Consider the following 25,786-nt stretch of genomic DNA (forward strand, 5'->3'; position numbering starts at 1 on the left):
GAGATTTCATCCAACCACAGATTTCTCACTGTGCCAGGAGGAAAGTTTTTGGAACTCTGGTATTTTGGTTCACCCTATGTGAACTGCGGGACTAGTTCATTTTTTTATTTCTGTTTTTAGCAAAGCCGCAGGTCTCCTGTGGTCATGAATGCATGGGTCTTAAGAGGCAGGACAGCCTCATACTCCTGAGCTCAGGTGTGGAACTCAAGCAGACGTGGCTCTAAGCTCAGCTGGGTCACCTTAGAGAAGCCACTGAATCTCTTGGAGCCTCAGTTTATGCTTTGCCAAATGGGGATATTACTGTCTATTTCCCAAAGCTGTTGCAGGGGTATGCTGAGATAATGGAAGCAAACACTCCACATCGTGCTTGGCATGTAGGAATCTGGTGATAAAGGTCCTATTATTGTTACGAGAAACACGTGTGAGGAGAGTGTAACTGGGCCTTCAGCTCCGTGTGGAGCCCTTGTTCCTTTCCTGAAATAGAGACATGCTTTCCTCCCTGTGTTTGCAGTGAAGTTTTGATTTAGGCACATCGTCATTGTAGATGCGCGATCAGGTTTTATTTTCTGTTCTAACATTTAGCAGTTTAATGATACCGCGTGAATGCTGTGGTGTAGTCTCCGAGCTCTTTCATGGGTATTCCTCTCTTGAGCTGCCCAGGGATTGGGGCTATGATCTGTCATCCCCCCTCCCCCGCAACTTTAGAGTAAGATCTCGAAAGCAATGGGGCTGAGCTCAAAACCTCGGGCTGTCCCACAGCCTCCTATGGGACTTGAGAACTTCAGAGTTCATTCTAGGTGGACCAGGAAACCACTGGACGGCGTTGGGCAGGGCAGAGGAAGTGGTCGGGCCGCATAGAAGCGACTCGGTTCACAGTAGCTGTGACCGTTCACTGAGGGGTGTGTGCTTTGTGCTGGGCACTGAAGATGGATACAGCCGTGAGGAGGACCCTGGAGGGCCTTGCAGCGGATGGGATGGGGGAGAGTCAGGGATGTCTCAACAGATGAGGCCAAACTGCAGCTGGTTCTGGCTTCGTGGTACAGGCAGCAACCAGCTGTCCCCCAGGGGATGTAGGGAGGCATTTGCATTGGCCCCTAAGATTAAGTTTGGGGTGTGAGCATCTCCTTGGTGGTGTGAAAGTGCCCAGGGAGTGGAGCCGTGCCAGGTGAGAGGGTGCGGCTGGAGAGGCAGGTGGGAGCTGGATGGTGAGGGCCCTTGAGTGCTCTGCAGGGAGCTTGAATCTCCCCATCACTGTTTACGTCCATCATGGAAGGCCCAGGGAAAATATATATATATATATATATATATATATATATATATATATATATATATAGTTTTCGGTTTTTGAGACAGGGTCTCCCTCTGTTGCCCAGGCTGGAGTGCAGTGGTGCGATCTCAGCTCACTGCAGCCTTGACCTCCCATGCTCAAGTGATCTTTCCACCTCCCATGGGGTTGTTTTGGAGTTTGCCATTGCTTCTTCACTTGACTGGCCCCTTCTCTTCCGTGGGACTCATGAGCAGTACTCGAGGGAGACGAGCATCCCATGGATACGCAGGCGGTTGATGGATTCTCTCTACCATGGGTGCCTGATGGAGGCTGGAGTACGTGCATGAACCATAGACCGTCCGTGCTTTCAGGGACAACTAGGTGCTGTTCACTTCTCCTCACAGGGCCTGGCACAGAAGTGAAGTCAAAGAGATGTCTGCTTAGATGGAGAACTGAATCCGATCCCATGGACTCAATCAATGCCTGGGGAGTGAGGGCGAGATGGCCTCTGCAGGGCGAGGCCTGTTTCCTCCCCTCCTCCCTCCTTCCCAGTCCGTCACCAAAGCACTTGTTTGGGAAGTGGTGGCAGAGCGGAGTTGCTGGGGTGAAAGAGTCGATGGGGCCTTGCTTCCCTTGTCCCCCCAGAGGGCAGTGGCCCTGGCCTCCAAGGCAGTGTGTCCGCAGAGGCTTATGGGAGGGGAGTCCCACCAAGGGTGTCTTTGACATGCATCCTGCCCTGCGTACCCCTTCCTCAGTTCTCTCTTCTCCTCTCTGACCCTGCCCTCCCTCATCCTCCCTTCCTCTGAACTCCTCTCCCCTCCCTCCCATACCTTTCCTCCCTCTCCCTTGCCCTGCCCTACTGTGCCTGCCTTTCTCCTGCCCTGCTTGTTTTCTGTCCTCCTCTCCCCTCCCCTTCCTAGTGCTCCCTCCCCAGCCCTCCTGCCTTGCCCTCCTCTCCCCTTCTCTCCCTTCCCCTGCCTGCCCTGCCCTGCCCTGCTCTCTTCTCCTCAGCCTTCCTCTGCCCTGCCCTGCTCTCCCTTCCCCTCCCCTCTACTCAGTTCTCTTTCCTCCTACCCTCTCCTCTTCCCTGCGCTGCCTTCCTCTGCTCTCTCCTTCCCTTCCGTACCCTTGCAAAACACCTTCAGCTAAAGACTTCATCTCTCCCCTCTTCTGTCCATGCCTGGTGCGTTCCAGGTGGTGATCACCTAGAAAAAGGCCTGATGAACAAGCTGCAGGACCTGTTCCAGCCTCTCAGCCACGCCGTTGCCCCGCTGATTGGCCCAGATGGGAGCCTCAGGACCTTCCTCATGAATATTTGGGGCCAAGTCCCAGTATAAAGATTAGAACAGTTTTCTTTTCTAAATTTGCAATTGTATTATTTTCCCCAAATTAATCAGGGGAGGCCACTTCGTGAAGCTTTGCTAACAGCGCCCAGTCAGCAGCTGATAAAAGGAGCTCTGTGACATTTGGGAAGCCACCGCTATGAGGGCCACCATGCCCGACTATTTGTTGCTCTCAGATGTCTCTGTGGAGAGTTTTTAAGTGGCAATAACAGGAATTGCTCTCGTCAGCTTCCCAATTAGCAACCGCACAGTGGGCTCCCCAGAAACAACTGCTCAGGCCTGGGTGCTGGGAGCCCAGGCGTCCCCCGTTATAAAGCAGAGTTCACAGGTTGGCATGGATTTGCCGTGGATTGCGGCTTGCTCCCTGCATCCCAGGGTGGCAGGATTGGGCCTGTGGTTTTGATGAGTTCCACACCTCCCAGCTGGCTAATGCTTGAAAGAAGAAAGGCAGATTTTCAATGCTCCAGGGATAAAACAGAGGGGCTTTTTAAAATTGAAGACTCAGAGCTGTTTTCAGTCTCATAGAAGGAATAGCTGATTCTCACTCTCTGGCTTAAAATGCCTGTCACTCCTTGGGGAAAGTCCAGATTCTCTCATGTGGCTTCCTAGGGCTGCCCTAGCTCCCCCTACCTCAGGCGCCTCTGCTCCTGAATCTTGTGGTCCCCCTAAGCTACTGTCTTTGGCATCTTCAGGCTCCTCCCTGCCCTGGAGCTGCCTTTCTCTCCCACTGTCGTAGAGCAGAGTGGATATAAGGGCACTGGCTCAGGAATCAGGCCTCTTGGGGCCAATTCTTGTTTCTACCCCCCAACTAAGGAGTTGTGGACCTGGGCGCCTCTGAGTATCAGCTTCATTCTTCTGAAATGGGAACATGAAAAAGCCCCTCTCTTGGCCAGACATGGTGGCTCATGCCTGTGATCCCAGCACTTTGGGAGGCCAAGACGGGCAAATCACTTGAGGCCAGGAGTTCGAGACCAGCCTGGCCAACATGGTGAAACCCCGTCTCTAGTAAAAATAGAAAGATTAGCTGGGCGTGGTGGCATGTACCTGTAATCCCTCCTACTCGGGAGGCTGAGGCAGGAGAATCACTTGAACCGGGGAGGTGGAGGTTGCAGTGAGCCGAGATTGTGCCACTGCACTCTAGCCTGGACAACAGAGCAAAATTAGGTCTCTAAAAAACAAAGAAAGAAAGAAAGAGAGAGAGAGAGGGAGAGAGAAAGAAAGAGAGAAAGAAAGAAAGAAAGAAAGAGAGAAAGAAAGAAAAAAGCCCCTCTCTCGATGGGCTGCTGAGAATAAATGAAATGATGCTTAAGCATAGGTGTGCCTAGCCCAGTGCCTGGCAGAGAAAGCACTCCAAAAATGTTGCTAGTGACGGCTCCTCCTGCTGCTGCTACTAATAATGATGATGGTCATTATTATGTCACATAGTCCTGTGGGAGGGCTCCCTAACCCCCATTCAGATCAGGCACCCTGTCCTCATTCTCCCCTATGGAAGACCTTGTGTAGCCCTTCATCAGGCGTGTGTTGTGGCTTTGTCACACTGTTTTGTAATGATCGCTTTGCATGTCTTTTCCAGCTGACTGTAAGTTCCACGAAGGCGGGATCCACAGGTCTCATTTATCTTTTAACTGGAAGTGCCTGGCTCACAGTAGGCCCCCAAAGAATGCATGCTGAATGAATCAACAAACGAATATATGTGACTGGAGAGCTGAATGAGAGGATGAATGATTGCACCCCATCCGCAAGTCACCCCTGAAATAGATCAGTCAGCTCTGAAATAGAACTGAAACCCATTCGCTTCTCCTTGCCTCCCCAGCCGCCACCATCTCCTGCCTGGATGACTGCAGCAGCATCCTTGCTGGCCTCTCTGCTTCCTGCATTGCCTCCTCTGAATCTTCAGGTGACCTCCGAAGTCACCTCCTCCCAGGTGCCTTCCTGTCCTAGCCACCCAAGCCAAGTCCATCTCTGTGCCAGCACTCTTTATGATGTATTCACGTATCTGCTTGTTGGCTCTACTGGATCTAAGCTCCGGAGGGCAGGGGTCACATCTGTTTGCCAATACGTTCCTTCAAGGCACGGTGCCTTGGACATATGCAGGCATGCGGCAGATAGTCACTGAGTGAACCATGCAGGAGCCAGCACAATTAACGCGAGTGCCAGTAACCAGCCTGGGCGTAAATCTGTAACTCGATGGTGCACCACGAGTTAACTTCTCATTCATGTCACAGTCCACTGCAGATCAGGCAGCCCCTCCTTTCTCCACGTGTGGGCTACATGCTCCCAGAGAAAGGGGAAGGGGAAGCAGGGGAGGGGAGGATGGCAGGGAATTTCCTTTTCTCGGCTAGGCCTAGACGTGGCCTGCCCCAACTCCCATTACCTTACATTAACCATAAGTCAGCCGATGGCTCTCGTCTAATTGCAAGGCATGCTGGGAAGCCTGGTCTGTCTTTGTGCCCAGAAAGAAGAAACGGGGTTGGTGAGCCAGTCTCATCAGAATGGGTACGAGACCAGGCGTGGTGGCTCACACCTGTGATCTCAGCACTCTAGGAGGCTGAGGAGGGAGGCTCGCTTAAGCCCAGGAGTTCAAGACCTGCCTGGGCAACATAGTGAGACCCCGTCTCTACAAAAACTTTAAAAATTAGCCAGACGTGGTGGTGTGCACCTGTAGTCCCAGCTACACTGGAGGCTGAGGCAGGAGGATTGCTTGAGCCTGGGAGGTCAGGGCTGCAGTGAGCCATGATTGTACCACTGCACTTCAGTCTTGGCAACAGAGAGATATCCCGTCTCAGAAAAAAAAAAAAAAAAAAAGGTGCAGGATGGAATCTCATAGCCAGGAGGCCTTGTTGCTGGAGTCCTTAGTAGTCTAGTCAACATTCTAGAATTCTCTAGCCAGTGACAAGTTCCTATATCAGCTGACTCCAAAGCAGATATCTCTTAAGGGGGCTGAGCTGCCTGCTACTCCCGATAGACAAGACCTTTTTATTTTACAAAATACCTTGATGTTCCTTGATGAAAAGAAAAAGAACTTTGGAAATGCAAAATCACCTCTGTCTGTCACGTAGCTGACACGAGGTGCGGCTCCTGGGGAGGGGCCCACTGGGGAGCGGGACATGCGTTGCAAAGACACACTTGTCAGAAACAAACCAGGAAACAAAATTCAGGGAAATACAGGGGGCGGGGCCTGAGCATTGCTTCCAGGAGCCTCGTTGTCTTGTTCACAGCATTCCATCGTTTTAAAAATAGCTATTCTTCATTTGATGATAACTTTATCTTCTTGAAGCTCAAAATAAAATTAACCTTTTCTGGAGGGAAGAAAAATATTCCTATTAAAATTGTCTCGAGTGTTCTTTTTGAAAGCGAGGCCCAACTCCCAGTGCCGTCTATGAATAGCTCTCAGGCATCATTGACGATGGCGTTATGGTAGGAATACCACACAGAGTGACAGCAGAGCCACGGGTGGGTGGCAAGGACTCATTAGGCAGCCCCTAGAGAAGTCTGGCAGGTTCCATACGCTGGGTTTGCCTCCAGTCCTGTGGCTTCTCATCTGAATTTTGGCTGCCACCCTAGGAGCCCAACCAGAAAACTCACAGATCCCTCATGGCCCTTTAAGAGCTGGACATTCCTCAGGGGGTCAGGGCCCTTCCTGGATGCCCTGTCTCCTCCTGGGAGCCCCATGTGACAGATGGGGCCTCTGAAGGCCTAGTTCCCTGTCTTCACTCACTTGCTCCCTGGTGTTCGGCTCTCTTTGGAATCAGGGAGCTGGCTTCCAGGCCAGTCTGTCCACTCCACCACCAGGGATCTTTGTTCTCTCTCTCTGGACTTTCGCAACATCCTCCAGGCCATTCTTCCTATGGTCTGCCTGGCCTTCCCTAATTTTATCCCAACAGGTATTTGTTCTCTCAACAAATGTGTATGGAGCCTCTTGGGATCTCCAGGCGCTGTGATAGGCTCCGGCGATAAAGGGATGAACCAGACAGATAAGGTGCCTGCCTTGGTGGAATTACCATCTAGCAAGGGAGGTGGGGGAGTTAGCAAGAGTCCTGCAGTGAAGGAATGAGACTATCCCAGGAAGCAACGAGTGCTTTGAAGAAAGGAGAATGAGGACTGGATCAGAGAGGGCCTGGGCGACCTCCACTGGCATGTCCCGAGAGGTCTCTCGGAGGTATTGGCACAGGAGCGAAGACCAAAATGGCAAGGCCTTCTGGGACATCCCAGATGAAGACAGGAGACATCAGGAGACTGTGTGCTGGACATGAGAAGAAACTTGGGGCTGCTAACATATTACAATGTTGGTGAGGGTCGGGGTGGGAGGTACTGGGGAGAAGGTGACGTGAAGAGAGGTTAGCAAGGCGTGCTGCGGCCACGCGGCAAGGTTCCCATGAGCCACGCTAGTTTAGTCGTGTGTGCTGGGAGGTGGACAGAGTTCATGGGAGCCATTGAAGAATTCCAACTGCAGAGGGTCGTGATGGAGTTTTGAGAGCTCTCTCTGCCTAAGCTTCCTACACCCTACTGTCCCCCAGCATTGCTTCTCAGTGTTGATCAGATCAGCTACCTGATGCCTCCCACCTCCCGTTGGCTTTGTTCACTGGTCTACGTGGCTCTGCACGGTTTTACTGCTGCTCACACTGCAGTCTTACACCTCTGGAGCCGCTAAACCCAGCCACACCGGCTGCCTCCTGTTCCAGCAAGCCAAGCTCCTTCTGCCTGGGGGTTTCTTCTTGCATTTGCTGTTCTTTCCACTTGGCATGCCCTTCCCCCACCCTCAGGGCACCACCTTGACCACCTGATGGCCACACGCCTTTCCTCCAGGAGCCAGCTAAAGCACCAGCTTCAGGGGCTGCTTCCTTGCAGTGACACGCTCTCTCCAGCCCTCCTGCAAACGTAGATATTCCTCCCTGCGAGGTTCCCTGAGCACCTGTGGGTTCCATCGCAGCACTTGCCCCAGCCTGTCCCTACCCCCTCCTGCACATTTAAACTCCTCGAGGAAAAGGATCCCAGCTAAACATCTGTGGATCATCAGCACCTGTCACAGGCCTGGTGGGCCATGTCAGCTACCAGGTGCTGAGCCTGGGTTATCACCAATGGGGTAGGAGCTACCCCATCGCTGTCTTGCAGATGAGAAACAGAGATTGCAGGGGATTTCGCTGCATTCCCACAGAGCCGGTAAATGGTACTGCAGGTCTCTGACAGCCTCAGGGAATGTCACCTTGTGATGTGAAGTAGATGCAGTGTAGCCTCTGGGATGCATTTCTGGGGCCTCGGCTGGTCATACTGCCTGTGCAAGGGGTATAAATCAGGGCTTGCAAATGCACTGGCCCACGGAGGCTGCCAGGACGGGGAGCAGGCTGTCCTGGGGAGTGACGGTGCTATGTGGTCCGCTAATCAGGCACTCCCGGCTTAGCCCCTACCCACTGGCAGGGCTGCTCATTATTTAAAGGGAAGCCAGAAATCTGGGTTTTATGCAGAAATCTCCCGGTTTTAATGTTTCAGAACATTGCTCAGGCCATACAAAACATACCTGTGGGTCACAGTTAGTCTGTGGACCTCCGTGAACAGCTTGTGGTGAAAATGGTGGCACCATGTCCCCCAAAAGGTCAGAACCCAGGTGATCGCAGGGGGAGTCCAGTCTGAACAGTATTGCATTCAACCTATTAAAGAATGGATAAAGAGGTGCACTGTAACTCGTCTTTTAAAATTCCAGAAGCAGCAGGCACATTTGAAAACTCAAACGTTTAAACACAGGCTAGGTCTTAGATAACACCAATGACTCATCATTAATTTTGTTACAGGTGATTATGCCATTGTGGTCAAATGGGAAAATGTTGTTAATTTTTCAGAAATACACACTGAAGTATTTAGGAGTAAAATGTCATGACTATAATTTACCTTAAAACACCTTAGCGAAAAGGTAAAAATGATGACACAAATATGGAAAAGAGTTAAGACTTTTTAGACAAAGTATTGTGGAGATTCATTAAAATTTGTGCTGCTTTTTGTCTTATTTAAAATTTTTCAGCAATCCGTGATGTCTCACACCTGTAATTCCAGCACTTTGGGAGGCCGAGGCAGGTGGATCACCTGAGGGCAGGAGTATCACCTGAGGGCAGGAGTTCGAGACCAGCCTGGCCAACATGGCGAAACCCTGTCTCTGTTAAAAATACAAAAATTAGCTAGGCATGGTGGTGTGCCCCTGTAGTCCCAGCTACTTGGGAGGCTGAGGCAGGAGAATCTCTTGAACCAGGGATTGCACCACTGCACTCCAGCCTGGGCGACAGAGCGAGACTCTGTCCCGCCTGCAAAAAATAAAAATAAAAATAATAATAATAATAATAAAAAAGTAAGAAAACAAAACACAGTCACAGGCAGGAATATAGCCTTCCATGAATTATTCTGGGATCTTCCACACCTCTCAGGTCACATTCTACCGAGTCCTGTGCCGCGATTCAGGCCAGGGTGTCTGCACCTCTAGGGTCAGAGTGAGACCTGAGGGAAAAGTGCCTGGGGCAGAGGATGAGTCATGCAGCCCCACCTGCCCCTGCACCCAGGTGTCAGGCTTCCTCCTCTTCACAAGGCAGATGGCTTCTCCTAAAGCCAACCTGGAAGTAGAATCTCAAAGAACTGAACCCCGCTTTGGGGAAGCCTGGTGTAGAGGAACCCATGGGCTTTTATTTGGAAGGCTGAAAGTTGTCTTCTGTACTGGGGAGGCTGTCCCTGCTGCCTGATGGAAGGCCCTGCTCAGCCACCTCCTAGTCTTGACCCTTTGTGCAAGTTCCTCACCTTTCTGAAATTCAGTGACCAGCCTTGGCTGTGCTGTAGGGACACAGGGCAGGGAAATCTCTGAGAAACGAGCATGAGTGAAGATGTCACAGACATCAATGGATAAAGAAAATATGGTTTATATACACCATGGAATACTATCAGCCATAAAAAAGGAACGAAATCATGTCTTTTGCGGCAACTTGGATGAAGCAAAAGGCCATTATTCTAAGTGAAGTAACTCAGGAATGGAAAACCGAATCCCGTGTGTTCTCACTTATAAGCGGGAGCGAAGCTATGGGCATGCAAATACATACAGAGTGATAATAATGGACTTTGGGGACTCAGGCGTGGGGGAGGTTGGGAGGGAGGTGAGGGATAAATGACCGCATATTTGAGTACAGTGCACACTGCTCAGGTGAAGGGGGCACTAGAGTTTCAGAATTCACCACTAAAGAACTCGTTCAAGGCCGGGTGCAGTAGCTCATGCCTGTAATCCCAGTACTTTGGGACACTGAGGTGGGCGGATCACTTGAAGTCAGGAGTTCGAGAACAGTCGTCACTAGTAAAAATACAAAAATTAGCCAGACATGGCTGTGTGTGTGCCTGTAATCCCAGCTACTTGGGAGGCTGAGGTAGGAGGACTGCTTGAACCTGGGAGGCGGAGGTTGCAGTGAGCTGAGATCGTGTCACTGCACTGCACCCTGGGCGACAGAGTGAGACACTGTCTCAAAAAAACAAAAAACAAAAACAAATAAAACACTCGTTCATGTAACCAGAAATCACCTGTACCCGCAAAAATTATTGAAAGAAATCAGATTTTTTTTTTAATTCCAATTGCTGCCATATTGGACATTCCTAGAGCAGAACCTGGCTTAGGTTTCCAGGAAGCAGCTATTGTGAGGAGTGAGCACTTGGGAGGGACTTGGGATTTCTCCAGGGGCCTCTGGGACCTGGGTGAGAGAGGCAGATTAGACTCATGGATGGAATTCTCTAACCTTCATTTTGGGGGTGGGGGGTTCACTTTCCTTGGGCTCTGTAGCACCACCCCACATATAGTAGGAAGGACCATCTCTGATCTCTCCTTATTGCTTTAGAGTGTTTTGAGCATTTCCCTTCCAAAAAAAGAAAAATCTTCACAAGTTTTTGCAGGGCTGATGAGCTCCTTTCTTGTCTTCCTGTAGCAGAGTCTATCAAGCTGCCTTGAGGGTTTCTTGTGCAGATTAAAAACTAGGCTTCATGAGCTCCGTTGGGCACTAGCCAGGCATCTTAACCACCTTCCCAAGGAAAAGCATCTCATTGTTTAATGGCGGGTTGAAACTTGGCAACCAAGGAGCAGAACCAGCATTCAGACTGGGTGAGCAGAGGCTCCAGCTTGGGTTGGAGGACCCTGGGACAACCTTGTCTAAATATCTTCTCTCATTCGCACATAGCCCGCCTCCTGCCAGGGTGTGAGATGTTAGCCACCAGCTGGACTGATGGTGACATTGGAGTGGCTCTCAGCAGTGTTTGAGAGCTGCCACCCCTCTGGAGGAAGGTCCCCCACCGAGGCCGCTCATCGGAGGTGGCTTTGGAGAAGAAGACTTTGTTGTGACTTTGGAGTGGCCCCGAGGGGCCCCTGCTGGCACAGATGCTCCACGCTTCCATCTCCCACCTGGTGCTTGCAAGAGGCTTGCTAGAGAAAATATAAGGATGCCCAGTGAAATTGGAAGTTCAGATAAACCAATAATTTTGTAGTCTAAGTGTATCGCAAATACTGCATGGAAAGGTTTCGTTGTATAGAACATACTTTTTGCTGAAAAATTGTTCATTGTTTATTTGAAGTTCAAATTTCACTGGGTGCCGTGTATTCTCATTCGCTCAGTCTGCCAGCCCTGGCTCAAAGGTGCCTCTCAAGAAAGACTCTTCTTGCCATGCTCGGGGCCTTGGCAAGGCTTTGTGGGAACTCTTCTCTTCTTTTTATTCTGATTTTGATTTTTGATTTGTTTTTATTTTTTAGAGGCAGTGATGTGGTTTGGATCTGTGTTCCTACCCAAATCTCCTGTCGAATTGTAATCCGCAGTGTTAGAGGTGGGGCCTGGTGGGAGGTGACTGGATCATGGGGGTGGATTTCCTCCTTGCTGTTCTCATGACAGTGAGTTCTCATGAGATCTGGTTGTTTAAAAGTATGTGGCACCTCCCGCTTCACTGTCTTCCTCCTGCTCCGGCCACGTAAGATGTGCCTGAGTCCCCTTTGCCTTCCACCATGATTGTAAGTTACTGAGGCATCCCCCACCATGTTTCCTGTACAGCCTGCGAAACCATGAGCCAGTTAAACCTCTTTTCTGTATAAATTACCCAGTCTCAGGTAGTTCCTTATAGCAGTGTGAGAATGGACTAATATAGTCAGGGTCTAACTGTCTCCCAGGGTGGAATGCGGTGGTGTGATCATAGTGCACCGTGCACTCTACCTCTCGGGCTTAAGCAGTCCTCCTGCTGCAGCCACCCATGTAGCTGGGACTACAGGTGCACACCACCGTGCCCGGCTACTTTTTTCAATTTTTTATAGAGATTGGGCCTTGTTATGTTACCCAGGCTGGTCTCAAACTCCTGGGCTCAAGCGATGCTCCTGCCTCAGCTTCCTAAGGTGCTGGGATTAAAGGTGTGTGAGCCACCACACCTGGCCTGTGGGAGCTCTTCACCGGGGACCAGGGCACGTGATGCTAGGTGGTTTTTCTCGTTGCTGACAGATTGTGACTGAGCCCCTGCCTTGGGCCAGCTCTGTGCCTGCACAGGGAGAGCAGAGACGAGTGCCCCACCTGATGTATGGGGCCTCCTGGGCGAGGTACCGAGGCCCACTGCAGACAGCAGTTTCCTCATCTGTTACGCGCCGTCGTCATAGAACATTCCTCCTCGTGTTCTGTGAGGTTGGAATGACCCCGTTCCTCCACTGCCTTCTCTCAGCTCTTTGTTTCTTCACCTTGCTTGGTCTTCGGTCCAGAAGGAGCATGACGGTCTCAGAGAAAGCCTTGTCCCGGCCCCGATGCTCACTGCCCAGGGTGTCTTTGTTACAAGCCAGGGGCTACTAGCACAGATACACGGAGCAGGATTGGCTATGGAATGTGTGGGGCCCAGGCCAACGTGACAGTGTGGAGCCCCTGGTTCCAAATTAATGAGAATGGTGGGCAGTAGCTCACCACGCAGTCCCAGTGTGGACCCTCTGTGACAGCTTGGGTTGCACACCAAGCAAGCTGGCCCTGCCCACAAACACCAACCAGACACAGGGGTGGGGTGGGGTCTGTAGGATGAGTGAGGGGGTTCTGGATCACAGAGCCCCTGATCACTGAGTGGTGGAAACTGCTCAGACCTGGGGACCTGTGCCTGCCTTCTGGGGCCACGCTGCACAGCCCAGCCTGGTATGGCCCTATGGGTGGGGCCATGCTACCATGCATCCTAGGTTTTTTTTGTGTGTGTGTGAGATGGAGTTTCGCTCTTGTTGCCCGGGCTGGAGTGCAATGGTGCCATCTTGGCTCACCACAGCCTCTGCCTCCCGGGTTCAAGTGATTGTCCTGCCTCAGCCAAGTAGCTGGGATTACAGGAACGTGCCACTACGCCTGGCTAATTTTGTATTTTTAGTAGAGAAACGTGGGGTTTCTCCAGGTTGGTTAGGCTGGTCTCAAACTCCCAGCCTCAGGTGATCCGCCCGCGTCTGCATCGTGGCCCACGCGTCCTAGTTTTTCAAGAGAATACGGAAATTGTTTATTAATAAAACCTCTTTCTTAATCAGTGGCAGTTGTTTTGTATTTCGAGAAACTCCCCTGAAGGCAAAATTAAGCCGGTGCTCTGGAGTGGCATTTGGTGTGATTGATAATTACCCGCTGACCTGTGTGGTCACTGGATTGATTTGTGTCTCCCTCGCTGGCCTGTGAACTCCACGAAGGCCACAGCAGTGTGTTCATTGTTCTACCCTGACCCCCAGCACCACATTCGGCACATTTTGGTGCCCCATAAATAACTGTCCCATTTGAATAGGAACACACCAGATAGAGGTCTTGGACCTGCTTTTCCTCCACTTAATAATAATATCGTGAGCATCTTTCTTGTTATTACATGTGATACTACATGTAAGGGCTTAGGGACCATTCATACGAGATAGTTGCTCAATCAGTGTTGGTTGCCTGGATGGCGCTGATGGGTGATCGCCTGTTCTATAGGGTCATTTCTGACCAGGTGAGGAAGACGTACCAAAGCGAAGATGTTTTGTGTTTCCTCAGGATGCCAAGTTTGTGGAGGAACGGAGAAAGCAGCTCCAGAATTACCTGCGCAGCGTCATGAACAAAGTCATCCAGATGGTCCCCGAGTTCGCTGCCAGCCCCAAGAAGGAGACCCTCATCCAGCTGATGCCCTTCTTCGTGTAAGTACTGCTCCCACGGACATGGGCCGCCAGCCCTGCCAGCATTTTTTTCTCGGTCGTTTTGGAAGGTCAGGGAGCACAGCGGCTCTCCGTGATGCCCTGATCGCCATGGGACCCAGGCGAACTCCAGGGGCTGTTCCAGGTGCCAAAGTGGAGGTTGGGTCTCAGCGCTTTGGAGCTTCTAAAGGGATGGGAAGAGAGCAGGCCTGCAAATGAGCATTGTTGACTTGAGGCTCACAAAGAAACTTGGGGCTCTGTGATTTTGTACTTTCACACATTTCGATCAAGGGAAGATTAATTTTCTGTACAGCCCACGGGTGCTCCAAAACTGAAACAAATTGTGTCAGTGTTTCTCAAGCTTGGGTAATGAACCCAAGGAAAGTTCTCCCAGACTCCTACCAGTATTGACTTAAATTATTTTTATATGAGTTTTACTTAAAAATGAACATTAATATTATTTAAATGCCTTCTTCTCTCTTGAAAAAAGTAAAAAAAAAAAAAAATTAAAAGAGTTTACATATTATGCACTTAGAAAATCATTACACTTCAGGCTGGGCACGGTGGCTCACGCCTGTAATCCCAGCACTCTGGGAGGCTGAGGCGGGTGGATCACCTGAGGTCGGGAGTTCGAGACCAGCATGGCCAACATGTTGAAATCCTGTCTCTACTAAAAATACAAAAATTAGCCAGCCGTGCAAAAATTAGCTGGGCATGGTGGCAGGCGCCTGTAGTCCCAGCTACTTGGGAGGCTGAGGCAGGAGAATCACTTGAACCCAGGAGGCAGAGGTTGCAGTGAGCTGAGATTGTGCCGCTGCACTCCAGCCTGGGTGACAGAGCAAGACTCCACGCCCCCCCCACCCCCCCCCCCAAAAAAAAGAAAAAATCATTACACTTCAAAATTGTCAATTAACCCAACGGATGCTGCTGTTTTCAAGAAAGCTAATCTTGGCTCGAAATGTCATGCAGTGACTTCTTTTCGCCTGCCACATGCCAGGCGTGCTGACTTCATCCACCCCTTTGCTCTGGTCCCATTGCTGGGAAACGTCAGGCTGTCCTTTTGACGTCCCTGCCTTGCCACTGATTAGTCCACTCTGTTGTCATAACCTGGGAATGCTGACATTTACATCCTTGGAATTAGGGGAACCAAAACCATCAAGCCCGACTTGGTTTTTATGGTCTTCAGATGCTACAGAATGTAATTGTATTATTTCTAAAATCTTACCGTGATAGAAACACAAAACGTAAAAATCCATAGAGAAGACCTGTGGGATTGGGACTTATTCGAGAAGCACTGTTCTGGGTCGGTGTGATTTGTATGAAATGCTGGGGTAATATAAGAGTTTCCTGTCACTGTAGCTGTTTAACGGTTGTTCTAATGGTGTTGCTGGGTTCAAAACAGAGGGTGCATTTCTGCTCCCCTCTGTGGGGTGCACCTTTGGGAGCCGGCTTCTGTGGGGTGTGCTCCTGTCTGTGGGGTGTGCCCAGCGGTACCATCCAGATCGACATGAGCAGCTGCCTGTCTTCCCTGCCTAGGCCCTTTGAAATTGTCTCCAAGATGGTTGCTTAGATTTTCTAATTGTTCCGGGGTTTTTGTGAGAAGACATTATAGTATCCTGCTGCCTGTGATAAGAGGTGCCTTTTTGTCCTGAATAGAAAACAGTTTCTAGAACGCTTTATTTTTCTTTTCTTCTTTTATTTGTAATGCCAGGGACTGGATCTCACTGTTTGGAAATGGCCGCGATAGTTCACGTGAGGAGTTCTCATCCTCTTAGCGGCATCCCCATGGCCCAGGGTGCACGGGGGAATTAGCCTCTCGCGGAGTCATCACGCATCGACTGAATTCCCTGGTGAAAACTGAGTTAGCCAGTTGTTCCTAAGATACTCCTGATGCTGAGAGTGTGAGCAGGAGGCGCTGCCCCATCCGCAAGTCAGTGTCCCCCACCCCCTGCGGGGTCCACAGCCCAGGCATCTCCGGTCCAGTGTTTCCCAAACATTCGCGTGCCGAATTGTAAAAAGTGCACGTTAATGCGAGCCTGTCGGTGTGACATGAATCTCAGCCATGCTGGTTGCCATCAGTCAGCACGGAGAGAGAAACCTTTTGTGCCTAATTAGCACGCAGAACAGAACACAGGGTTCGATTTATGGACTTTTCAAAACGAGAATTTCAGTGGGAGACTGTGGCAAATGACACAGTGTTGACACTGGAATTTTGACTACATGTTGGTCTAGACCCCAGTTGAAATTAAACAGCTCTTTTAATAAAAGCTCTTTGGCTTTCCTCACTGTTCCAAATCCCACAGCCCCCTTCTCCTTCTTCCTTTTTGAGCAGGATGGGATTACAGGTCGGAATGTACGGATTGTTTCATTTTGGGGTAATGATGGATCAGCCACAGCCAAGCCTTACCCGTGCTGACGAATCTCCATGTGATCGTGTCCTTTCTCCATGTGCTGCCCACAGAAAGCAGCGAGACTGCTGTCTCAGCTGGAAAGCTGAGCCTGAGAGATTTCTGGTTAAAAAAAAATAAAAAATAAAAATCTCCTGCCTAAGGAAATAAACCCCCAAAGCATAATTATTCTTATAAATTTTGACAGATTTTCTCCTTGGTTCTTTCAAATGTTGATTTAGGATCCAAAAAGTCCATTTGAGTTACTGAACGTAACCGGATTGTTCACTAAAGAGAGGGCCCCCCATTTTCCTGTGGATGTCAGCTTTGTGTTTCACAGCACCCATCTCATCTCGTCTTCTGGAGAGCCAATGAAATCTATTTCATAGTGTTGAGGAAAGTGAGGCTCAAAGGGGCGAACTGGCTGGTCCCGGGGTCCCCACCCAGCACGTGGGGATCCTAGGGTGTTTGGCACCATAGCCCGTGTTTTTGGGATGGAGGTGGGAAGCCTGCACCCTGTGGACTGAGCCTGATTCTCCAACTTATTTTATTTAGCCAGTATAGTGGGGTTTTGTTTTGTTATTTATTTTTCTTCTTCTTCTTTTTTTTTTTTTTTTGAGATGAAGTCTCGCTCTGTCGGCCAAACTGGAGTCCAGTGGCATGATCTCGGCTCACTGTAAGCTCTGCCTCCCAGGTTCACGCCATTCTCCTGCTTCAGCCTCCCGAGTAGCTGGGACTACATGTGCCCACCACCATGCCTGGCTATTTTTTTTTTATTTTTAGTAGAGATGGGGTTTCACCGTGTTAGCCAGGATGGTCTCGATCTCCTGACCCCGTTATTCCCCCACCTTGGCCTCCCAAAGTGCTGGGATTACAGGTGTGAGCCACCGCACCTGGCCTGTTATTTATTTTTCTTAATTCAAGTACTTGCCAACATCAAAAAATTAGAAGGTGTCAGATAAAAAAATCCAGACGTCAAGCTTCTTTATTTTGAGACAAGTTCTCACTCTGTTGCACAGGCTGGAGTGCAGTGGCACAATCTTGGCTCACTGCAACCTCTACCTCCGGTTCAAGTGATTTTCCCGCCTCAGCCTCTGAGTAGCTGGGATTACAGGCATGTGTCACCACGCTCAGCTAATTTTTGTATTTTTTATAGTAGAGATGGGGTTTTGCCATGTTGGCCAGGCTGGTCTCAGACTCCTGACCTCAGGTGATCCGCGTACCTCGACCTCCGAAAGTGCTGCAATTACAGGTGTGAGCCACCACCCCCAGCCTAGCTTCTCTTGAAAAATCAGAAGAATTGGTCACAGCACCATTCCCCCACTCTCCCACACTTGGATGCCCCGTGTCCACTGAACCCCCATCTCCTGTTGTCTCCTGGGCACTGAGCCAGCATCCCCTCCATGCTGTTTGCCTGGTTATGTCATACATTTGGGTGGATCACCTGCCTGCATGACTACCTGGCTCTGGAGTTTGCAGTCCTGGCTCTTCTCCACTGCTCCCACGGCCCCTCCATTTGAATCTGTGGACATCCACGTTACTCATGATGCATTCGGTTTGCACACTGTGCCACTGTGTGTTCTGTGAACAGGGCCACTGATCAGCTTCAGGAATGGTGGTCCCATTCTGGTTTGGGAACTGAGAAGGTGGGCAGGAAAGATAAAAACCAGTGGGTAGAAATTGCTTGTGTTTTTCCTCACAAATATTACTTAAAACTTTCAGTCCAGTATTAGATGGAACCTGCTTTCACACACACTCTTCCATTTTTAAATTCCATTTGACGTGTCCATATTTCACTGTGTTCTGTAAGAGGCATCATGACTTCTAAGTAATCTGCCATCTGCACAAATCTGAGTTGAAGAATCGGGAGGTTGAGTTTTTCCTCCCAGTCTCTGTGCCTCCCGTTGCCTCCCTTGCTAATGCCAGCTCTGAATTGGAAAGTAGGCCGGTGGGAAGTGGGGCATTTCTTTTCTATTTTGAACTCTGTATATCAGTGTGGCCCAGGGGGGACCAGAGTCTACTCCCCAAGACAAGGAACAGATGAGTGCCAGCCTCCCAACACCCACATCTTTGGGAAGCCCCGTGCTGTGTTCGTCGTCTGACATTTGGGGAAGGGGTGGTTACTAAGAGACGTGACACTTTGCAGATGGCAGAGATCCCCGGGGAGATGTGAGGTACCGTTCGTGGAGGGAGGCTCGGACTCCAAGAATTCGCTCAGTGAGACTGGACCGCAAATCGGTGACAGCTTCAGTGATTTGCCGTGCTGTCATTTAGCGCATTATTAAAATGGTTTTCTGCAGAGTAATTTAACTTTGGGAAATACATTATGTTCTCCTGCTCCTTGAGGAGAGAGAAAGTTAGGGGGCTGGAAGGTGGCAGAGTAATGTAGGTCACAGCACAAATTCCCAACTGGATTTTCAGCAGAAAACCCAGTCTGGGTTTCCCCCGCCGCCGCCCCCATTTGCTGCTGCATTCTCTCTTAGGGTTGTGAAATATATCCATTTTTTGCTGAAATATGAGCTGCCTTGTTCTCCCAGTGAGCAGGTTACGTTTAGCTCAGCGATGCCACACCCTGACCTGTGCACTGCCAGGGGTCACTTGAACCTAAGCTGCTTTGCAAGTCACTGCTAACAGGAAGTAGCAACTTTTGACTTCCCTTGTTTTGTGGACTGGCCAGAACCTTCCAGACTCCAAAGTCCTCAGCGTTACCCAGTTGCCAGTAAGGAGTGGTGATGCCATGCAAGAGATCTCAAAGCTGCAGGCATATTGGTTAGGTGTGTGTTCAGTAAAGTGTCCATGCATGTGACTTTCCATGGGCAAGTGTGTCCCAGTTCGGCACCGTTCCAACTACTCCCTCTTGCTTTTCCCCTTGGCCTGCTCTGCTGACTTACATCAACCACTTGGCCCTCTAAGGCAGGTGAGTTTGAGACCCCTGGTAGCCACATAGAAAGTGCGGTGTTGATTTTGGAGTTGCTGATAGTCTTTGGCTCTTCCACTGAGGAGGAAAGTGGTCTTTTAGGAGCTTTTAGAACAGCGCATCACACATAGTAAGCACTGTATGTGTGTCACTGTTTGTACCAACAGACAGGGAGCCTCGGGGAAGGAGATTGTGGGGAGCAGATATTTTAGGGAAAGTGATGAAGTTCTAGTGTGGAAAAACCCTAAAACACTACAGAAAGAAGATGAGGAAGTAAACAGCACCCACCCCATGCACACCTACCCTTGCACTCACTGTCAAGTCTTTTGTGTAACTGCAGAAATCATCAATATTTATGTAAGTCAAATAGAAACTCCACTGTTCTGAAATTTGCCTTCGTTTTTTTTTTTTGTTTTTTGTTTTTTTTGGTGGGGAACAGTTGCGCTCTTGTCGCCCAGGCTAGAGTGCAGTGGCGCAATCTCAGCTCACTGCAATTTCCCTCTTCTGGGTTCAAGCGATTCTCCTGCCTCAGCTTTCTGAGTAGCTGGAATTACAAGTGGCCGCTACCATGCCCAGCTAATTTTTGTATTTTTAGTAGAGACGGGGTTTCTTCATGTTGGCCAGGAGTGTCTCAAACTCCTGACCTCCAGTGATCCACCCGCCTTGGCCTCCCAAAGTGCTGGGATTACAGGCGTGAGCCACCGTGCCTGGCCACCTTTCTTAATTTAATAAAACTGGCTCAGTCCTTCTGAAAGGTAATAGTATCCACCGTAATGGCTGTTTCATAATTTATTTCACCCTTGCTCTACTTGAACAGTTAAGAGGTTTCCAGATTTTTCTCCCCCAGACTGTAGTCTGGAACATCTCGATGGATACACATTTTGGCAGGTAGAGCTACAGGCTTGATGTGTAGAAGCCATTCTGGCTTAGAGGGTATGTGCATTTTAAATTTTTCCTGACATCACTAAAGCCCACCCTCTCATACCAATTTGATATGCAGGGTTTGATCTGGATCGAAGGGGAAGCCACTCTTCCCAGGTGTGCAGAACAGCTGCAAGAAGCAGGGAGCCCCAAGTCATCCCCTGTGCCTGGAGAACAGGGCACTTGGCCCTATGGTCAGGGCGCACTGGGACCTGGGGTGGAAGTCTTGGTCTCTGGGGGCTGGAGCCCTGGCAGGTGTGTGAACTCAGGGCTGTGCTTTCCGAAGAGCACGCCAGGACTGGGTATAGTGGATGGATTGGGCGATGGGCTAGGGTGCCCTCAAAATGTTGCAGACAGAAGGCAGGGAGGGCCTGACCCAGATGGCCAAGAGGAAAGGGGGACATGGGTTTGGAAGGCCCTACCAAGAGGGGACGTGGGGCCCCACTGTCTCAGGTGTGCAGCACCATCTGCCCCGTGGTCCTCATGGCAAGGGGGCAGCAGCGGCATTGCCATTCTCTGGGATGAGGACGGTGAGAGTTGAGTAGGTGACTAGGCTGCCTGCTGGGGCAATGGAAGGGGAGCAGCAGAAGATGCCGAGTTTTGAGGCTGAATATCTGGGTGCAGAGAGGTCAAGGGGACAAGGAGGGGAAGCCCGCTTGGGAGCAGATGAGATGAAAAGGAAGCATTGGGGTCAGAAACTGGTCTACGTGCATCCTGAAGGCAGGCCCAGAGCCAGGCGAGGGCAGAGTGAACGTCTTCTAGGATGGCCGCCTGTGAGCTGCCTTCAGGTAGCAGTTTCTCCCAGGCATGCCTCAGGAAATGTATGTCTTCTCCCCTCTCACGTCACAAGAAAAACCAGTCAAGAGGTCGGAGAGTGTGTTATAACCGTCCTGCTGAAAATTAAGATGTAGCAATCACAGTTTGGAGGAATCCACAGCGACAGAGGAGAGGCAGGAGCAGGAGGTGTCACCACATGGAGCTGCAGGTCTGGGTCGCCGTTTACAGGAACCAGGACAGGAACATGTGGGAGAGACGTGGTCACGATCTCATTAGTCAGGATTGCCTTGCACTGATGCCATGCTGTAACTGTGTGTTCCTGGCTCTGTCTACTGCAAACAATGAATCATTCTTGCAAATAAATACTAATATGTTTATGTAAATTGTGTACTTTCTGTGAGTGGCATTCCAAGAAGTAAAAAGTTTTGGAAGCACAATAAGTCCTTAAATTGGCATTCTGGACACCAGACTCTGTAGCGTCATGAGCCTTGCTAGCAGGTGCCTGTGTTGTGTGGTTCTTTCAGCAGCTCCCAGCAGCGTTCACTTGTGTTTCCCAGCGTTTGTATATTCATTCTAGGCTGTCGTGTTTTGTAAATCCTACTAAGCTCAATATTATTAAGCAAACAGTTTTAGATGTCTATGATAATGGATAAGTAGTGGGAAGGATGTTAGTAATAGTTTAAGAATAACTTATGATTTGGAGAATTCCTAAGAACTTGCAGGAATTCTGACTTCACCATCTGAAATCCCAGTCTGTCTGAGGTATTTGGAAACACTCTTTGGGATGCGATTTCCTGATATAAAACGTGGAATTGGCTGACATATGGGGGATCACAGAGGTTACGAAGTCAGGGTCAGGTGCCCAGGGAAAGAGAGGGCAGGAAGAGGTGTTGGCCTTGGATGGAAGCTGGGGACAGGGCAGGAGCCTGGAGTCCATGGGGCAGAGGCAGGAGGAGGTGCGAAAGCTGAAGACAGCCTGGTCAGCCTAGCGAGGGGAGCCAGTGTCTCCCAGAGAAGCCTTCCCCTGCGTGAGAGAGCTGCAGAATCAACACCTAGCCCCAGAGCGTTAAGAACAGCAGGCCGTCCTCCTCTGCTGCCAAGTTGGCTGCGGACCCAGGGAGCGGGTGGCGCAGCACGGCTGTGGTGGCATCCCTGAGCCCCTCGTCTGTGGGGAGAGTGCCACCAACAAGTCATCAAGGGCAGGAAGGGGAAACGATGGTGCCTTTGCAAGCCACAGCCCACATCACACCTCCGGGGAGGGACAGGTTCAACTCGACAGCTCTGCTTAGAAACACGGCCGCCTTTGCCAGGCAGGGCCTCTCTCTGAACAAACTGGATTCTGGAACCAGCAGCCATCTGAGGCCACAGAGGACACTTTGCTGCTGTTTTGCCCAAAGGGCAGCTGATTCTCCTGTGGAGTGCTTTGCAGAATCCGTAGCAGCTTCCTGGAAAGTCAGCCCTAGTCACTGTTCGTGGGCTGGTACCTGTGGCCCTGTGGGTCCTGGGATAGCTTAGATGCTAAGAGGCTGTTTGAGGTCATGGAGTCTTTCGCCCCTTTTGTGATGTGTTGATGCATATTTCCACCCCACAGGAGGTGAGACACTAATGTTGCACCTCCCCACCCCCATCCCCAGCAGTGGGGTTCCTGGACAGACTTGTCACATCAGAGAGCAGCCCGTCAGCCACTGCAGCCTTTTGTCCTCATTTCTTACTTTCTTAGCCTCGTCATTATCAACCAGGTATATTATTTGGAGGGAGGAGACACCCCGCTACCTGGACTGACACCCCAAATTGGGGCCTTGGTTCTGTGATCTTCCAGCATCAATAGGCACCCCAAATTTACCTCTGTCGACTGGATGCCTTGGCAAACTCAGGTGCCTGTAGGTCTGGGTGGGTCATATAAGTGAATTAAGCCATTGAGTTGTCAGCAGGGAGTGGTGTGGAGTGCAGCTCATAGGCCCCATCAAAAGGGATCAGCCACTCCTCACCAGGCTGATTCCTGTTATATAGGACTGCAGCTAGCTGGATAGAAGTCCTTGACCTTTTCAAGACGTGGCAGAAATGCACATCTTCATATAAAATCTGATGTTTAAGTTGGTTGGAAACTCCTTTGTTTGCTTAAAACATCTGTGGGCCACATGGGGTCCACTGTACCTTAAAAGCCTTCCAGGGCAAAAGGGGACTTTGGTGCATAAGTCTGTTTAACATGTGAAGCAGTGCAGAGTGAGGGCAGCAGGGGATCCCACTTGACCCCAGGGGATCGCGATGACAAGGTGCTAACCAGGACAGCTCCAACACCAGGCCTCAGGGCAGCGCGGCCTCTGCGGTTCTGACTGAGGTCTTCATAAGAGTGTGGGCTCCATGAGAAAGGGTCCATTGGAGTAATCGTCGGGCTAGAGATGTCTGCTCAGTGCCCAAGCACCGCCGGCACACCTGCCGTCTTTCTCCGTGTGGGAGACGTGCTCCTAATGAGGGCCTCTGTGCCCAGCCAAATGTCCTGGTCTTTGGAGAGGTTTCCTGCACCTCTCACACCTTCTCTGTGGCAGCTTCTTTTGCTTCTTGTCCTCTGTGTAGCCAGCGGCTGCACTCGGTTGCCTGTAGAAAGAACGCAGATTAGGGAGGCTTTGGTTTTTGTTTTCGGGGTTTGTTTTGCTTTTAGCAGCTCAGCAAGAAAAGTGGGTCTTTGGAGGGCAGTTGTGTCAGTTCAGGGAAATTGGTCACAGGTTATTAGGGTTGAAAAAGAAGTCTGGTATTGTCACCTGTTAAATTCAAAAAGCAAATTCCATTCATGGGTAAAATTCACCTGAAGGAGTTCCCTGCAGACGGGCTGTCGGAGGATCTTTGATTCTGCTTTTCTTGGCGTTGCCACTCCCCTGTCACTCACTGCCCCTTGCCCTACTAAACCCAAGTGGCTTTCTTTCTGCGTCTACCCCTCTGGTTTTTAACTAAGGGCAATTTTGCCTTACTCCCCAGTTCCAGGCACAGCTGGGAGTGAATGCAGACATTTTTGATTGTCCCAACCATGGGGGACAGTGCCACGAGAATCTAGTGGGTAGAGGCAAGGGATGTACTGAGCATCCTACACCTCACAGGATGGCCTCCTCCCTGCACAGCAGAGTTATCTGACCTGAACGTCATTAGTGTGAAGGTTGAGAAGCCCAGACCTGGCCTGAGAAGCTGGCTCGTTGGGTCTTATAAAACCAGCTACAAAGCACTGGGACTCCACAGTCAAGAAAAAGAGAGAGGGAGGAGAAACCAACATGTATTTAGCACCCGCCAGGGTCCAGGTATTAGGCCAGGAGCTTTTCATTTCTTTGAGACAGAGTCTCACTCTGTCACCAAGGCTGGAGTGCAGTGGTGTGATTTCAGCTCACTGCAACCTCTGCCTCCTGGGCTCAAGCGACTTTTGTGCTTCAGCCTCCCAAGTAGCTGGGATTACAGGCATGTGCCACCATGCCCAGCTAATTTTTGTATTTTTAGTAGAGATGAGGTTTCGTGTTGGCCAGGCTGGTCTCGAACTCCTGGCCTCAAGTGATTCACCCATCTCGGCCTCCCAAAGTGCTGGGATTACATGAGCCACTGCGCCTGGCCAGCTTTTCATTTATTAACACATCCTTTCTTTGAGGTTAGTGTTACTGTCCCTTTTTTCCAGATGAGGAAACTGAGTCTCACAGAGTGAAGTGGCCAAGCCATAGTCTCACAGCTGGGACGTGGCAGCATGGGGAGTGTGAGCTGGGTATGCACGATTGGCAAGCCTCTACCCTTTGTCACTGTCAGTCACACCAACATGAAGCACTTACAGAGCAGTCTTGAATATCTTCAGGGCTGGGGCTTTCCAGGTCCTGCATTGTAACTGTGGGTCCTCTGTGCCCCTTGTAAACAAAGCCAGGCTTGGTCACGCTCGTCTTCCACCACTGTGTGTCTCCTCTGGAGGTCCTCAGAGTATAGAGGCCGCAGCCACTGTGTAAGCCTTGCCGCCACTTTGGCCTCTCAGTGCTTAGATCGGCCATGGGAGCCCTATTGGTGCTGTCCAAGGTCCTACCCATCTCCCCTTCTTTGAGGTTAATTGAAGAAAGGGCTAGAAAATGGGGCTGGGGAGGGTTAAGGAACTTCTGAGAGCTTTGACCCCGGCTGAGAAAAGGGGTCTTTGATACCTGTTCGACACGCACTCGGAGCTATCCCGTTCCTAATTTGATTGCCCATGAGCTGAGCCCTTTGTCTTCATTCATCTAACACACCCAGGATGTTTTGCCTGGACCAGAGAGAAGGGTGAACACAGCCCAGCTTTGGTGCTGGCACTCGCCTGTGAGCGCAGAATCTCCTGGCTTAGCACACATCACTCAGAAGATAAAGGAGGTTACGGCTTGCTGAGTAAGAACAGGATTTCATGTTTTTTTCTTTTTTATGCATGAGAACTTGCTGTGACAGAGTTGAGGATGTTTTTCTCACTAGCTCGTTCTGGGAAGACAGGTTGAGAAATTACTAATGCAGCAGGAAACAAGCCGTACTGTCAGGGTTGGGGGTAAAGCTTGTTTATGACTTTCACATTAAAGGTACAAGCAGAATGGCCTCATCAGTAAGGAGGGCGGCAGTTGTGCAGGCTTGGGTTTGACTCAAGGCTATGCCGTTTACTTTATCAGTGATCCTGGATTAGAACCTTTAGGGACTTCATGCCTCTATTTTCCCCTCTGTAAAATGGGACTAATTATAGCCCCTACCTCAGAAAGTTGCAGAGTTCACACCTAGCACAGAGAACGCACTAACTAGTTTGGCTGTGGCTGCAGCAGGGGTGTATACAGCTAATTTCTGGGTTCCTTAGATCCAGGGAAGAGCTGGTATTAAGAGGTGTTCAGGGGGCTGGACGTGGTGGCTCACGCCTGTAATCTCAACACTTTGGGAGGTCAAGGCAGGCGGATCAGGAGGCCAGGAGTTTCAGACCAGCCTGGCCAACATGGTAAAACCCCATCTCTATTAAAACTGCAAAAATTAGCCAGGCATGGTGGTGCACACCTGTAATTGTAGCTACTTGGG

General features: G+C 50.3%; 1 protein-coding gene and 2 long non-coding RNA genes across 21 annotated transcripts in view, besides 3 other annotated features; 1 reads left to right on the top strand and 2 right to left on the bottom strand.

Annotated features, from left to right (window-relative positions):
- Positions 1-25,786, top strand: part of SNX29 (sorting nexin 29) — a 597,554-nt gene that overhangs the window by 534,352 nt on the left and 37,416 nt on the right. For 6 of the 19 annotated variants that reach the window (NM_032167.5, XM_017023874.2, XM_017023873.3 and 3 more), the window contains one exon: positions 13,617-13,756. In NM_032167.5, the coding sequence (NP_115543.3) occupies positions 13,617-13,756 (140 nt within the window). Of the gene's footprint in view, positions 1-4,423; positions 4,535-13,616; positions 13,757-15,464; positions 16,313-25,786 lie in introns of those variants that run through there. The other 13 variants (XM_047434881.1, XM_047434879.1, XM_047434885.1 and 10 more) reach the window with 6 other exon arrangements.
- On the bottom strand, positions 1,586-3,687 carry LOC124903644 (uncharacterized). Its single transcript, XR_007064992.1, has 3 exons — positions 3,655-3,687; positions 2,394-2,472; positions 1,586-1,674 (listed from the first exon to the last, which is right to left on the bottom strand). It is a non-coding gene; the product is annotated as an uncharacterized LOC124903644 (long non-coding RNA).
- Positions 7,154-7,813: an enhancer, noted in NCBI's record as "H3K27ac-H3K4me1 hESC enhancer chr16:12612096-12612755 (GRCh37/hg19 assembly coordinates)". NCBI's record gives its function as "activates a minimal SCP1, AML or CMV promoter by ChIP-STARR-seq in primed H9 embryonic stem cells {active_cell/tissue: H9 hESC(primed)}" and the evidence as "EXISTENCE:reporter gene assay evidence [ECO:0000049][PMID:30033119]".
- Positions 11,624-12,124: an enhancer, noted in NCBI's record as "H3K4me1 hESC enhancer chr16:12616566-12617066 (GRCh37/hg19 assembly coordinates)". NCBI's record gives its function as "activates a minimal SCP1, AML or CMV promoter by ChIP-STARR-seq in naive H9 embryonic stem cells {active_cell/tissue: H9 hESC(naive)}" and the evidence as "EXISTENCE:reporter gene assay evidence [ECO:0000049][PMID:30033119]".
- Positions 15,667-16,167: an enhancer, noted in NCBI's record as "H3K4me1 hESC enhancer chr16:12620609-12621109 (GRCh37/hg19 assembly coordinates)". NCBI's record gives its function as "activates a minimal SCP1, AML or CMV promoter by ChIP-STARR-seq in primed H9 embryonic stem cells {active_cell/tissue: H9 hESC(primed)}" and the evidence as "EXISTENCE:reporter gene assay evidence [ECO:0000049][PMID:30033119]".
- Positions 19,832-25,786, bottom strand: part of SNX29-AS3 (SNX29 antisense RNA 3) — an 80,226-nt gene continuing 74,271 nt past the window's right edge. The window contains exon 3 of the long non-coding RNA XR_007064990.1: positions 19,832-23,350. This is a non-coding gene — a long non-coding RNA (SNX29 antisense RNA 3). The remainder of the gene's footprint in view (positions 23,351-25,786) is intronic.

The sequence above is a fragment of the Homo sapiens genome, chromosome 16 (assembly GCF_000001405.40).
Source record: "Homo sapiens chromosome 16, GRCh38.p14 Primary Assembly".
Classification (NCBI taxonomy): domain Eukaryota; kingdom Metazoa; phylum Chordata; class Mammalia; order Primates; family Hominidae; genus Homo; species Homo sapiens.